This window comes from Homo sapiens, chromosome 2 (assembly GCF_000001405.40).
Source record: "Homo sapiens chromosome 2, GRCh38.p14 Primary Assembly".
Taxonomy (NCBI): Eukaryota; Metazoa; Chordata; class Mammalia; order Primates; family Hominidae; genus Homo; species Homo sapiens.
The window spans coordinates 83,281,675-83,295,434 of NC_000002.12; the positions used below are offsets into that span (position 1 = coordinate 83,281,675).

The 13,760-nt window shown below is 37.2% G+C and overlaps 1 long non-coding RNA gene across 1 annotated transcript in view, besides 2 other annotated features; it reads right to left on the reverse strand.

The window, feature by feature from the left end:
* Window positions 1-11,835, reverse strand: part of LOC105374833 (uncharacterized) — a 36,976-nt gene extending 25,141 nt beyond the window's left edge. Inside the window, exon 1 of the long non-coding RNA XR_940306.2 lies at window positions 11,773-11,835. This is a non-coding gene — a long non-coding RNA (uncharacterized LOC105374833). The remainder of the gene's footprint in view (window positions 1-11,772) is intronic.
* Window positions 1,285-2,157: an enhancer, noted in NCBI's record as "NANOG-H3K27ac hESC enhancer chr2:83510083-83510955 (GRCh37/hg19 assembly coordinates)". NCBI's record gives its function as "activates a minimal SCP1, AML or CMV promoter by ChIP-STARR-seq in naive H9 embryonic stem cells {active_cell/tissue: H9 hESC(naive)}" and the evidence as "EXISTENCE:reporter gene assay evidence [ECO:0000049][PMID:30033119]".
* Window positions 2,158-3,029: an enhancer, noted in NCBI's record as "OCT4-NANOG-H3K27ac hESC enhancer chr2:83510956-83511827 (GRCh37/hg19 assembly coordinates)". NCBI's record gives its function as "activates a minimal SCP1, AML or CMV promoter by ChIP-STARR-seq in naive and primed H9 embryonic stem cells {active_cell/tissue: H9 hESC(naive and primed)}" and the evidence as "EXISTENCE:reporter gene assay evidence [ECO:0000049][PMID:30033119]".
* Window positions 11,836-13,760: the final 1,925 nt, after the last annotated feature.

Here is a 13,760-nt window from a genome sequence, read left to right on the forward strand (position 1 = left end):
TATATGTAGTCACAAACATATATGTGCATCATATGCAAATATACACACAGATTATATATTGACATTATATTTGTAAGGTAGATATGTTTTCATTTCTATTTTGAAAAAATAGAAACTTAGATCAAGATATTAACATTAAATCATTTGTTTATTGGTCAACACAAATGAAGTTTAAGAGGTCTTTTTCCATTTTTCTAATCCTAAAAAATTAATTTTTACTTTATATGCAAATGGAAAGCCTTCAATGCATTTTCTTCACACACTACCCAGCCTGGAAAATATTTGTTATAACAATATGCAAAATCCCATTTGAGGAATTTGAAATGACTGGTGATATGTGAATTGGACTGGAGAGGTAAGGATAGAGTAGAGAATATCACTGCAGATAGCAAGGACAGATGCAATAAAATTTAATCTCTGCATTTACTTGTAAAATATTTCATTTTTATCTGTTACTTTGTGAAAGAGGTTAAGAAGGCAGAAGGCGCGAACCTTGTTGACTGCACTGAAGGGAAAGAAAAATGGACAGAGGGTGCACTCACTGCTGTCTCCAGAGACAAAAGGAGCAAACATGCTCTGGCATAACCCTTAAGAAAGTGCACTAAGGGAAGACAATTATGCAAAAGTGATCAAAAACAAAGTACTCTCTAATAGTGGCATTTCCTCTGGAATTTTGTAGACAGAGATATTATTTTGACAGAGAAGACTATCCTGGTATCCCTGAAATCAAACATGTAGGGTAATTTTATATGTAAATGTAATTATAGATGAATTAAACCAGTCATGTGCACAAAGAATTTTAGGGTAATACTGGCTGGAGATTGTCTGTAAAGCTGGCTGGGCAGATTCCCGGGTTGCCAGTGTATGAAGCAATTTTCACGATTTAGCAACACATCAATCACCGTTGCTGTTCCTCGAATTCCAAAGGTTGCTGGCCAAATGATAGATGACTTATCAAGATGATCTTTGGCTTCCACTTTTATCTCATTTTTGTTCCCCTGGACATTGAACTCTATTCCCTAAATTCTGTCTTTATGGCAATTTTTTGAAACTTTTTGAGTATTACAAATCAGACAAACATGAAATAGTTGAGCATTGTAGACTCTTAATGGAAATTCAAAAATAAATTTTCATGAAAGCTATACCTCCCTCCTGATATAGCATTAATAATTATAACTTAAATGATTTCCTTTTAGGACACTAAAATGTTTGAGGTGAGAAGTCAAAACATTTACTCTTGTATTTATGAAGTGAACAGAAATATTGGTCCTTAACAGTTTGGTTGTACAGGCATTGTCATCTGTTTAGGTAGTTTGTCATGATGATGAGGACTAAGCTCTGTTTTTTTTTTAACTTACTCAAATTCCTTTCTAAGGAGTCTGAGGAGTCATGACCTAGAAACCATAAATTCTCATGAGATGGGTTTTTTTTAACCCCATATATCATGACTTACTTTCCAACCTGACTCTGGCATAATGAGGAAGAAAATAAAAATGTTTTACCCCAAAATATATTTCCTTGCCATACCTTGAAATTGCCTTGCAAAGTCTCTTGTAGGAAAAATCCACATTCTATAGAGAATCCTCTTCACCCTTTGTTTTCCTTCCTTCCCGCCCAGATCCAGGAGATAATCAACGAAGAGCCAGGCACCCATTTAAATCCGATATAAAACAATTTACAACCTGCTCTCTCTAAAGTCTGCTATCTAAGAGCTCCCTCTGGATAATAAAACTTGGTCTTCACAATCATTTTTCTTTAACCTGAACATTCCTTTCTATGGATACCAGGTCTTCAGATAACCTCAACCAATTGTCAACCAGAAAATGTTTAAATTTACCTACAGCCCGGAAGCCCCTGCTTTGGGTTTTTCCACCTTTCTGAACTAAACCAATGTATTTCTTAAATGTATTTGATTGATGTCTCATGCCTTCCTAAAATACATAAAACCAAGCTGTACCCCAACCACCTTGGGCACATGTTCTCAGGACCTCCTGAAGGCTGTGTCACTCATATTTGGCTTGGAATAAATCTCTTCAAATATTTATAGAGTTTGACTCTTTTCATCGACAATGGTAATTGCCCTGGCTGTATGACTTTCACTGGTGAGATGGTGATTAAGATGGCCTTAATGGGCCAGGTGCAGTGGCTCACGCCTGTAATCCCAGCACTTTGGGAGGTCAAGGCGGGTGGATCACCTGAGGTCAGGAGTTTGAGACTGACCTGACCAACATGGCAAAACCCCATCTCTACTAAAAATACAAAATAATCCAGGTGTGGTGGTGCGTGCCTGTAATCCCAGCTACTCCAGAGGCTGAGGCAGGAGAATCGCCTGAACCCAGGAGGCGGAGGTTGCAATGAGCCAAGATCGCACCATTGCACTCCAGCCTGGGCAAAAAGAGTGAAACTTCATCTCAAAAAGAAAAAAAAAAGGAAAAAAGATGGCCTTAATATCCCTCTCAGTTTACTTTAGACAAATTTCTTCCTGACTTTTTTTTCCCTTACCTCACTTTTCTTGGTGCATTTACATTAGAACACTGGATGATTGCAAATTCTCTCTGCCCTTTAGGGATGTAAATCTTTTTAAAAGCCTGTTGGCCAGTTTTAACATGCAGGAATGTTTTTCTTGAAGGCCTGGGAGCCATCCCTTTGAAATGTAATCATCAAGGAAGAGGGAGTTTTCACCTTTCAGTCTCTACGGGAGGGCAGGAGCCTAACTTTTGACTTTCATAAGAAACAATTAACAAATGAAATGGCCTAATTACATTGATCAACCTCCCCCCAGCTTCCTCCAGTACATTTTTACTAGCTCACCCCAACATCTGAAAGTCTTTTAGTCTTTTGTTTCAGTGAAATTGAGTTCATTCTCTCTCCCCTATTGCAATAGTCTTGAATAAAGTTTTCTTGTCTGTTTAACTCTATCCAGTAAAATTTTTCTTTGACAACGGCTAAAGGACATGTGAACCTGTTTTAAGAGTCAGAAAAGAGAGTTTATTCTGAAATCTGTGTTTTCAAAATGGAGTTTCTTATACTTTGCAATCTCTGAGCATCTAGTTATAAATATTTTTCTTTCTTTCTACTCGTATATTGACAATATAAAAGCCCAGAATTCAACTGTTGATAACTGTGAAGCAAATTTTATAGTTGACTTGGCTCTCATGGCCAGGGATGATCTTAGCAATCTAACCAAGCATAACATAACCTCGATATTTGTAGACATGAATTCAGTTCATGCATACATCCTTTCTTTTACAATTAAGGAAAAATTATAATTTAATACTGTTCTAATTCACGTAATGACTATTCTTCTAATATAGACATTTTAAAAATTCAGAATGCATGTTCTATGGTGTTTCAGACAGGTTTTACTTTTCTCTATAGTCCTAGTGAAATATGGTGGCAGAAGATAAAAGAGTTCTATATGTGATACCCTGGGCCCAAGGTATACAAAAGTCTCTTATCTAGTGTGATTGCCAAGATTTTAGGGCCACATCCGACTAAAATCTATCCCGGTCTGACTTTTTTTATTATTAGAAGTAACAACAAAATCTGTTACTTCAGAAAGCCTCAGTTGAAATTACAAGTAGTAGCTAAGGAAAGTTCTCCAGACACTTTCCATCAACATGAGAGTATGAAACAGGGAAGATCTGAGTGGGAAACTGGAGAGTGAAAGGAGTGAGACTCTCATGCAGGGGGAAGGTAAATTAGCCAGCACTGAGCAGCGGGGTTTCCAAGGATGCTAGGCCATTAATGGTCTTTTTATAAATTATTAAATTTTTAAATATGACGAATGGAAGTCATGAATCAGAAGTTGATAAATTATTGTAGTTATAGTTCCAAATTTTGAAATTTCTGTCTAGGTTTACTAACAAAACAGCCAGTATGTTTCTAATTTAGAAGACAAAAGATAGACACATTCACCATAAGAACAGCTATTGTTTGGGTTTTTCTAGTTAATTACTAATTTCCTCACTTTGAAGAGACAACAAAGAGCTTCTCTGTTCTGACCTAGTGAGAACTTACTCATAGAATACAGATTTATCACACATAAGGAAATGTAAAGTAAGCTTTATGGTATTGCCACCTCCTGGTCCAAGAACAGAGAATAAAATTGTATTTAGTGCAAAAAAGAATTGTAGCTTTTACTACCATATAGAGAGAGCAAGCCCCTAGCAGGGACGAAGTGAGCATGCTTTCCTAGATTTGGCAGACCTTGGGGAATGGTGAGTCAACTGAGACCAGTCAGGATGGACAATAGAAATCCCACAGTGGGTTCCAGCAAGTACAAGAAAATAGAAGTGAATGTGTTTCCATTCATTATTATAAAATCTATTACTTCAGATTAAACTGAGAAGAGAATTAAAGAACTTCACTTACATGGGATTGACTGGGTGTTGTTTTAACTCTTACCTACAGCAGAAAATTCCCAACCCTCACTGCTCAAGCATAGACCACCCTTCACTTGCCTCAAACACAATCACTAAACAACCATTCATACTCTTATTTTAACGTTCCATTTGCCTCTAAATTAAACAAAGACAAGAACATCATTGTAGCATCCTGTGTACATTTTAGGACCAATGAGCTTCATCAAATTTAAGATAAAAGTTGGCAATCAAATATACTAAAAGAAAATCATTACCAAGGGGCCTTTGCTAGGAGGGAGCAGGTGCTCTCAGGGTAGACTATGGATGCAGAACTCCAATGGCGATAGTCATCAGTGGTCAAGTCCAGGCCCTAAATATTTCCTAGGCAATGTTGCAGATGAAATATATGCCTCATTTCCCTTGTCCTAACAGATGAATTTCTAGCCACCAAATGCCACAGCCAACTCTTGATTTTTTTTCATCATGCTTAATGACTTCAAACCTTGAAATTAAAAGTCAGTGCCATTGTTTTGGGTGTTTTATATATATATATTTTTTTGGGAATCAGATTTAGAAGGCAATCTGATTTAACATACCTCCTACCATTGCTGGTTTAGAGTCATCAGTTTGAAGCCAAACCTGGACATGTGTAGCTGACTCTGATTGGAATATAGAAGTCATGCTAAGGGCAACAGCATTTCTAACCTTGTTTCCCAATCTCAACCCAGGTGTCCAGAGAAGACCCTGCCAATTCCAATCTTACTGTTTCAAAACAGAGATTTGGCCCTTATAAGTACCACCAAATCTAGCTGCCCCTCCAAATAGGGTTCTATTTTCCTGTTATATAGTTGCAAACAGCTGTTAGGCAGATTTGTTTCAGGCAATGGCATAAATCATTTTTCTTAGTTTAAAAAGCACTTAAGTTCTTAAATCTTTTGTTCAGGAAGAAAGTCTAAGCCTTTAAGAAAACCTTCTGGTTTAAGTTAGTATGTTTGAAATCATGAGCTCTGATGCCTTCTGGAGAAAAATAAAATAAAATAAGAATATGTTTGGAATCTAAGATCCATGAAAATAAACATGTTAAAGTCTTTCGTTTTTACAGTTATAAATGTAAGAGATCAATAAACATTTCAATTCATTTATAAGTAAATCAAAATGTTTATTGATCCCTTAGTTGAAATTTGAAATTTTAATTTTTGAAAGTCGTATTTAATTTAGGGTATCCATGGAGACATCAATACATGTAGCTGTCAGTGTTCTATGCAAAATAAAAGTATGTTTGGATAGAAACCATATAGATAATAACAACAGCTCTCTATTATTATTAGTTTAACTCAATAGGCCGGCTACTTTCAGTCCATTTATTAGAAAAAATCTCATAACTACTCTCTGCATAGTAGGTTGAAGCACATTAAATTGTAACATTTCAACATTTTTTTTCAAAAACAGCAATTTCATAAAGGTCCAATTTAATAGCTATTCCAGGCTCTATTTTGCTGAAGAGAAAAGTGAGGACTAAGAGGTTAAGTAATATGCTCCAAAAAATAAAAAGCCTGCGGTTAGCAAAAATGGTGCTCAAAACAGTCTCTCTTAAGTTCAGACTTCAGTAACTTGAGGGTCTACTGACTTGAGGTTCAAGCCTGAGAGTCTATTGATTTCAGGATCCTCAAATCGCCATTGTTTTTTTCAATCAGTTCAGTTTGGCAAACTGCCTAAGAGTCATAAATGAAAGTAAGATTTTTTTCTTACTCTGTATAATACATGCACTCAGGCTTTTTGAGCTTGACTTTGAGTACAGAACCAATCTTTTAGGACCAGAGAAAGAAAATCACGTATTCCCAAATAAATCAGGCAGAAGGCTTCTTGGTTCTAGGTGCCACTTTGAGCTGGGTTTTTAAAACCAGATAGGGGTTTGCAGTGCTGGAGAGGAGGGGAGTTCCTGCTTGGTGCACCTGCTTGTGCAAGTGTTATTGTAATCTGATATGAATAGCATCACAATTAGCTTCTGTGATGCAGACCTTTGGTTTTTCATATGTCTCTCTTTCCCTCTTTCTCCAGACAATCCCATCCAAAGTCCCCACTGCTGGTTCCCTTTTGGCCTGTTTCTATATCACTATAGTAAAATGTGACAAAATCCAAATACTTTCAATCAAACAAGTCATATGACCAAGTAATGCACATTATAAGAGGAAGCATTATGAACAATCAAAGCTTTAATAATAGCTCTAGACATTTCTAGTCTTTCAAACAAAATAAAAAAATAAAATCAGCTAAGTTTACCTTTTTACAAAACTTCATACTCACTTAAGATCGTTTTGATTTTATGACCAACCACAAAATATATAATTCTTTGTGGGCCATGAGAAGGTTTAGGCTGTCATGAAACAAAATATATAGCTACTAAAAATGGGATTGCCATATGATTTAATATATAACCTGGGATCTGAGAAAGTTAACTCTATTTGTTTCTTTAGTTGTGATCTCTGAGCCAGTGCCAATGAAGTGAGAGCAGATTTCCCAAATAGTGTTTGTAACATGATGCTGTTCAGAAGACATTAACAAGTGTTCTGTGTAGGAAAAAATATGGCCCATATGTTTGGCAAATACCAAATAACTCATTCCCCTGTGGCAGATCCCTATTACATGACATATGAAAGTCTTTGAAATTTCCCAGGGGTGAAATAACCTATGCAACATTTTAAACTTATTGTACTACAAACCTATCCCCAAATTTTCTCTGACCTTGGCATAGTTCCCCCCCCCACACACACAAAAGATCTATTCAGATGTGCTGCAACACTACTGTTCAGCAGACCTCATTTTGAGTGGCATTGACTTAGAGGAGGAAGATCTGAATCAGGATCAATCAGAATATTTATTAAGCAATTATTATGCTAAAAGCACTCTGCTTCATGCTCTTTGTGAAACATGCATATGAGAAAAAAATTACTGCCCCGACCTTGTTTACTTTCTCAGCAGAACAGTTAGACATTATTAGGGGTTGAAATGTGTTCTCACAAAAGACGTTGAAGTCTTAACCCCCAGTGTCTGGTGCTGTGACCTTTGGAAATAGTCTGAGGTCATTAGAATGGACCCAGATCCAACATATAAAGGCAAAATTTGAACACAGGGACACACACACACAGGTAAAAACACCATGTGAAGGTTGGAATTATGCTGCCACACGCTAAGAAATGATCAGAAGCTAGGTGAGAAGCCTGGAACAAGTTCTCCCCAAGCACCTTCAGAGGGAGCATGGCCAAGCCAGCAATACATTGATCTCAGAATTCTAGCCTCCAGCACTGTGAGACAATACATTTCTGTGGTTGAACACCCAGTTTGTGGTATTTTGTTTCAGCAGCCCCAAGAAATGAATACAGACATATTCACAAAATAGCAGCTAGTCATGTGGCTCATTATTTAAACATCAAATGACTAGTACAGGTAATGTTCATTAAAGGAGTTCAGAGGAAGTAAGACAGTATGAAGTCTAAACATGAAGAGAAAACTGAGTAACTGAGAAAGAGAGGAAGATGCTGCTGGTTGACTACTAATAATTCAATCTCATTCTGAAAAAAAAATTACTATGGAAAGTGATGGATATCTTAAATTGCTTACTTGTAGTAATCATTTCTCTACGAATATGTATATCAAAACATCATACTTGTATACTTTAAATTTATACAATACAAATTAATTATTTAATTAATTATAAAAACTCTCCACTTCATCCTGTTTTTCTCACTGACCAATATGGTTTGACTGTGTCCCCACCCAAATCTCATCTTGAACTGTAGTTTCCATAATCCCCACTTGTTGTGAGAGGGACCCAGTGGGAGGTAATTGAATCATGGGAGTGGTTTCCCTCATGCTATTCTCATGATAGTAAGTTCTCACAAGATCTGATGGTTTTATAAGGGTATTCCCCCTTCACTGGCTCTCATTCTTCTCCCTCCTGCCACCTTGTGAAAAAAGATGTGTTTGCTTCCCCTTCCGCCATGATTGTAAGTTTCCTGAGGCCTCCCCAGCCCTGTAGAACTGTGAGTTAATCAAACTTCTTTCCTTTATAAATTACCCAGTCACAGGTATGTCCTTATAGCAGCGTGAGAATGGACTAATGCACTGACTGAACCTGTCTTCTAGGATAAATATTGAAAACAGCAGAATTTTGTCTTTCTACCCTCCCCTCTTGCAGCAAGAGAAATGGATGTGACCCAGTGCTGGTCAATGGGAACTGACAAAGTTTGCAGGGGGTTCCTGGAAAATTTTCCTCCCCAGTTAAGAGACACCTGAAGAGAATGCCACATTTCTTTTTCATTGTATGTGATTATATTTAAGTGAAGCTGGAATGTCTATGTTCAGTGTTCTTCCACGGGGGAAGAAATTGGTGAAAGACCAAGGGTAGCAGGTACAGAAGCATCAGGGTTTATAAAAATGTCAGTGTGCCATTGCCCCAACTCTCAACACACCTTTTATACAGACTCCTTATACATAAGCTAATATAATTCTTTAGCAGTTTTAGTTAAACATTATGCTATTTGCAGGGATAAAGATAATTCTGAATGACGAGAAAGAAAAGGAGAAACAGAAGGGTAAAAGAACGACATGATCACAGATGTAGAGTCACGGTACTTAATCTATTCTCAGGGCTCATCTCAACATTGTTAAAAACCTTTTCTATTCAAGGATTTTACTTGAATACTATGTCATCCTCTAGGCCTTAACTGATTTGCATTCCTCCTTTGTTTGAACTAATATCCTGTCTTCCAACTGAGTTGCCAAATTACCTAATCTCTATCTTCTGAAAACATAATTTATTCTGTCCCTATGTTGTGGTTGCTGATACACAACTTCCTAGTTCAACTGCCTACAGTTTTACACCGCATCACTGAGCATGTTACCCGTTGGGAATCCATCCAGGTATGCACCAACCTCAATTCTTGCCTCCTCAGAAGAAAGAATTCACCTGAGGGCCATAAAGCAAAAGGGGAGATGGAGGCAAGTTTTAGAGCAAGAGTGAAAGTTTATTAAAAAGCTTTAGAGCAGGAACAAAAGGAAGAAATGTGAACTTGGAAGAGGGACAAGTGGGTGACTTGAAGGACAAGTGCACAGTTTTACCTTTTGATGTAGGGTTTTATGTGTTGGCATATTTCTCGGGTCTTGCATCCCTTCTCCACTGATTTTTCCCTTAGAGTGTGCTGTCTGCATGTGCAATGATCAGCTAGTGCTTGGGAGGGGAGCATGCGCAGTGTTTACTGGAGTTGTACTCATGCTCATTGAAGGCGTTCTTCCCTTTACTGGTGGAATGGCCCTGGAAGGTCATATACCAGTTTAAGTCTGCCATTTTGCCTTTTAATGTACATGCTTAAGCCTTTTCACCCAACTCATGAGATCTTCTTCAGGAAGCTGCTGATCAGCATTTTCGGGTATTTCCTAACTATAGGGAGACTGCCTTTCCCTGGTGCTGGCTGCAACCAATTATTTTAGAAAGAGAGTTAACAACTGCCTGGCCATCACCTGATGGTCGCCTGACATGGCTGGTTGTGGCAGAGGCTTCTTCTGTCCTGCTTATGTTTGCCTAACTCTCTACTATAACAAGAACAGGCACATGATGCCATGCAGGAACTCAACCAATTCACATTGTATGAATGCACGGATGAATGAATAAGAATAAATGGGTGCCTCTACTGCTTCAGTCACATAGTTCTATACAAAAGTATCTAAATCCAGATGATTTTTTCTGTTGTTTTCATGCTAGGTACACTCTTAAGTATTGAGGATACAGCACTGATTTGTGGTACTATGCACAAAGGAAGGCCACTGAGTACCTCTGACAGGATTAACTTGATCAGATTTTGGCAGAAGTGTTGAGCATGGAATAGGAATTGTTTAGGAGAAAGTTATGAACAAGTGACTCTGTAATAGCACTGGTCATAGAGGATGGAATTTTGCTGAAATCAGTAAAAAGGGTCCTAAGAATAACAACAAAGAGATGGAAGAGGTAACATGAAGTTGATGAATACTTGAAGACATGTACGAGTCTGCAATTTTATATAGATTTTTGGCTCAGGTTATTAGCCAGTGAAGAGGTAAGATGTGAAGTAGACCAGAGAAATCAGAGTTTTTGTTGTTATTATTTTAATAGGGAAGACATCAAGATCAATTTTGGAGATTCTCTGTCTCCGTGCTAATCTGAGGGTAGAGCAGTACATTGCTTGTCTTGCAAGTCTGAACATGGAGGGAAATGTACCACACTATTATCCTTCATGTGAAAGATGGGAACTTATCACAGGATCCAAAGCAACACTGACTTGGGCACATTATTATCTGAATATTATGTGAAAGACACTTTTAAATTTATTAGGATTATGTTAAAGGAAACATAAATCCACTGAAAGATAGTGATGTTTTATATTTTTAAGGAATTTTGTTTCACTACACTATAGACAACATGATGCTGATAAATGTATGGAATCATAGAAACTATGCTTTGTTATCAATTTTATGGCATAAAGTTAGAGCTCTTTCTTAGAAAATATGCAAAACAAATTCTCTCCTAATGGCCTCAATAGAAAAAAACACACAGATATCTCTACAGTATCACATTGCTAGTATTATAACTAAAGGTCAGTTGTCATATTTACTATCATATCTGATATTTCAAGGGTTTATAGCTTATCAAATCACATCTGGCAGAAACTTGCTCTGAGGCTTTTCAGCTTGGTTTAAAAAGGTTTTTATTCTGTGAAATATGTACTATGGTAAATTTTATAAAGATAATAATTTTGTCAAAAATTTGGAGAAATTTTGGAGATAACTTTTCTCCCTGCTTTTAAAACACAAACCTGGGAGGGATATCTTGCACAAATACTTAATTAATTTTAGCATTTGGCACTGCAAAGTTAGATTTGCCTATTTACAACTAATTCTTGGGACATCATCTGCTAATGCCATTATTGTGGCAATGTTGGCAAAACTTGGAATGTTGTCATTTACATTATTTCTAAAGAAGCAGTGTGTTTGGATAACACACAGTAAATAGAATAGTACTCAGATGATGCAAACTAAAATACAATATTTTTAAAAAATAAAATCCCTTGATATCGTGTTTTTCATTTTTTAGGTGATACAGAGTAAGAGGGAGATGACATGCTGAATTCAGAAGGCCAGGATAAAAGAACTGGATTAGTCATCTAGTATAAGTCACTACATAAATTAAATATAATCTAACCTGGGTAACAGGTCTGAAAATATCCATGAAGGGTTAAGTGCTTAAAACCTGAAATTTGACATGCAGAATTGAAACACAGCATAGACCCTGAGTGGAGACAAGCACCACAGTAGCACAGTCCATAAGTAAGGCAGGTTTCAGCAGAAACTTACAAGTGAGTAGCAGCAAAATACTCACGGTTTCCTGAGCCCTCATCCTCTCACGAAGCAGAATGATCCAGGAGAATGTCCCTTATTCCTGGGCTGTTTCACAAATCAAGCAGGAACCTGAAAGGAACAGGGTCACTATCACTTTACTTCACTCTTTATCCTTTTCTTTTTTGCTTTTCAGACTCTATAATTTCAAGTGACCTATCTTCATGTTTGCTTTTTTTTTTTTAATTCTGATTGTTGGAATCTGCTGTATTAAACTTGAAATTCAATTATCTTATTGCCAGCTCTAGAATTTCTTTTTTGTTCTTTGTGAAAATAATTTCTGTCTCTTTGTTGATATTCTTGAATTGTTTATATCTCAGTTTGTCTCATTTTTCTTTAACTGTCTATTCATGATTTTCTTTATCTCATTGAGCAAATTTATGACAGCTATTTAAAGTTATTGTCAAGTAAATCTGAAACCTGTGTTTCTTTAGGGTTGGTTTCTGGAGATTTATTTTGTTAATTTGGATAAGTCACATTTCACTGTTTCTTTGTATGCTTTTGTAGTCTTTTGTTTAAAATTAGACATTTGAAAAAGCAGCTACTTCTAGTCTTTGTAGATTATCTCTATGCAAGAGAAAACTTTCACTAAACAACCAGTATGAAAATTCAAGGTCTTTTCAGGTCTTTTCTGGGAACATATCTTTCCTGGGAAATTGTGCATGTGTATGTAATTTCCCAATTCTTTCATATAGATGATGCTTTTGAATGTGTTATTTTGCTGAAGTGTCTCACCCCTGCCTCTTCTAAGGGTCTTAGATGTTCTATTGTATTCCTCTGTCTACAGTCTCTTGTCCCCAGGCACTCACAGGTCTGGAGTCCCCTTGCAGCTGTCACACACTGCAGCCCCCAGTATTGCATTCAGTGGTCTCCAACCTCATGCTCAAACCATGACAGTATTTCCAATCAATGCTCCCAGTTAGGCAAGATGGAAACCAGTCACTCAAGAAGCCCACAGATAAGCTAGAACATTGCAAACAAGTTCCACACTTTTCCTTCTGGTCCTGAGGGAGAAACTGGAAATTGGACAGTTTTCTCCCGACCATGCCTGGCCCCACTGGATAGAAAGGGTGGGATAAGGGTAAGCAAAAATGCCACACATTTTCTATCATTTTGAATGTGGCCTTTTCTTTGTTGGGGGTTTCTCCTGGTGACTGCAGATTCTTAGCTTGTTTTTAGAGTTCCACAAAATTACTTTGGACTGTAATGTTGTTGTTTATTTGATATTTCCATTGTAGAGCAAGAGCCTGGACTTTCCTATTCTACCACCTTGCTTCACTGAATTCTGGACCATTCATTTTAAAATTCTGTTTTATCACTCCTCTTAAAATAAAATAATTTCTACTTCTATCCTTAAGTTTACTGACCCTTACTTTTTCCATATTCAAACTACTGCTCAGTCTACCTAACTTGTTAAAATTTTATACATATACATATTCTATTTTAAAAAATCATTTACATATTTTGCTGAGCCTTTTTATCTTTTGTAGTCTCTGAAAATATTTATAAAAATCTGGTCTAAAATCTTTTTTTTCTTTTTTTGAGATGGAGTCTCGCTCTGTCGCCCAAGCTGGAGTGTAGTGGCGCGATCTCGGCTCACTGAAAACTCCGCCTCCTGGGTTCACACCATTCTCCTGCCTCAGCCTCCCGAGTAGCTGGGACTACAGGCGCCCGCCACCACACCTGGCTAATTTTTTTGTAGTTTTAGTAGAGACGGGGTTTCACCGTGTTAGCCAGGATGGTCTCGATCTCCGGACCTCGTGATCCGCCAGCCTTGGCCTCCCAAAGTGCTGGGATTACAGGTATGAGCCACCGCGCCTGGCTAAATTCTTAATTTTGTAACGCCAACATTTGGTTTATATCAGTGTTTATTTCCATTCACTGTTTTTTTTCTTAGTTATGGGACACATTTTCCTGTTTCTTTCTATAGCGGACCTTTAGATAGGATCTTAAAGATAATACTTGGTAGAA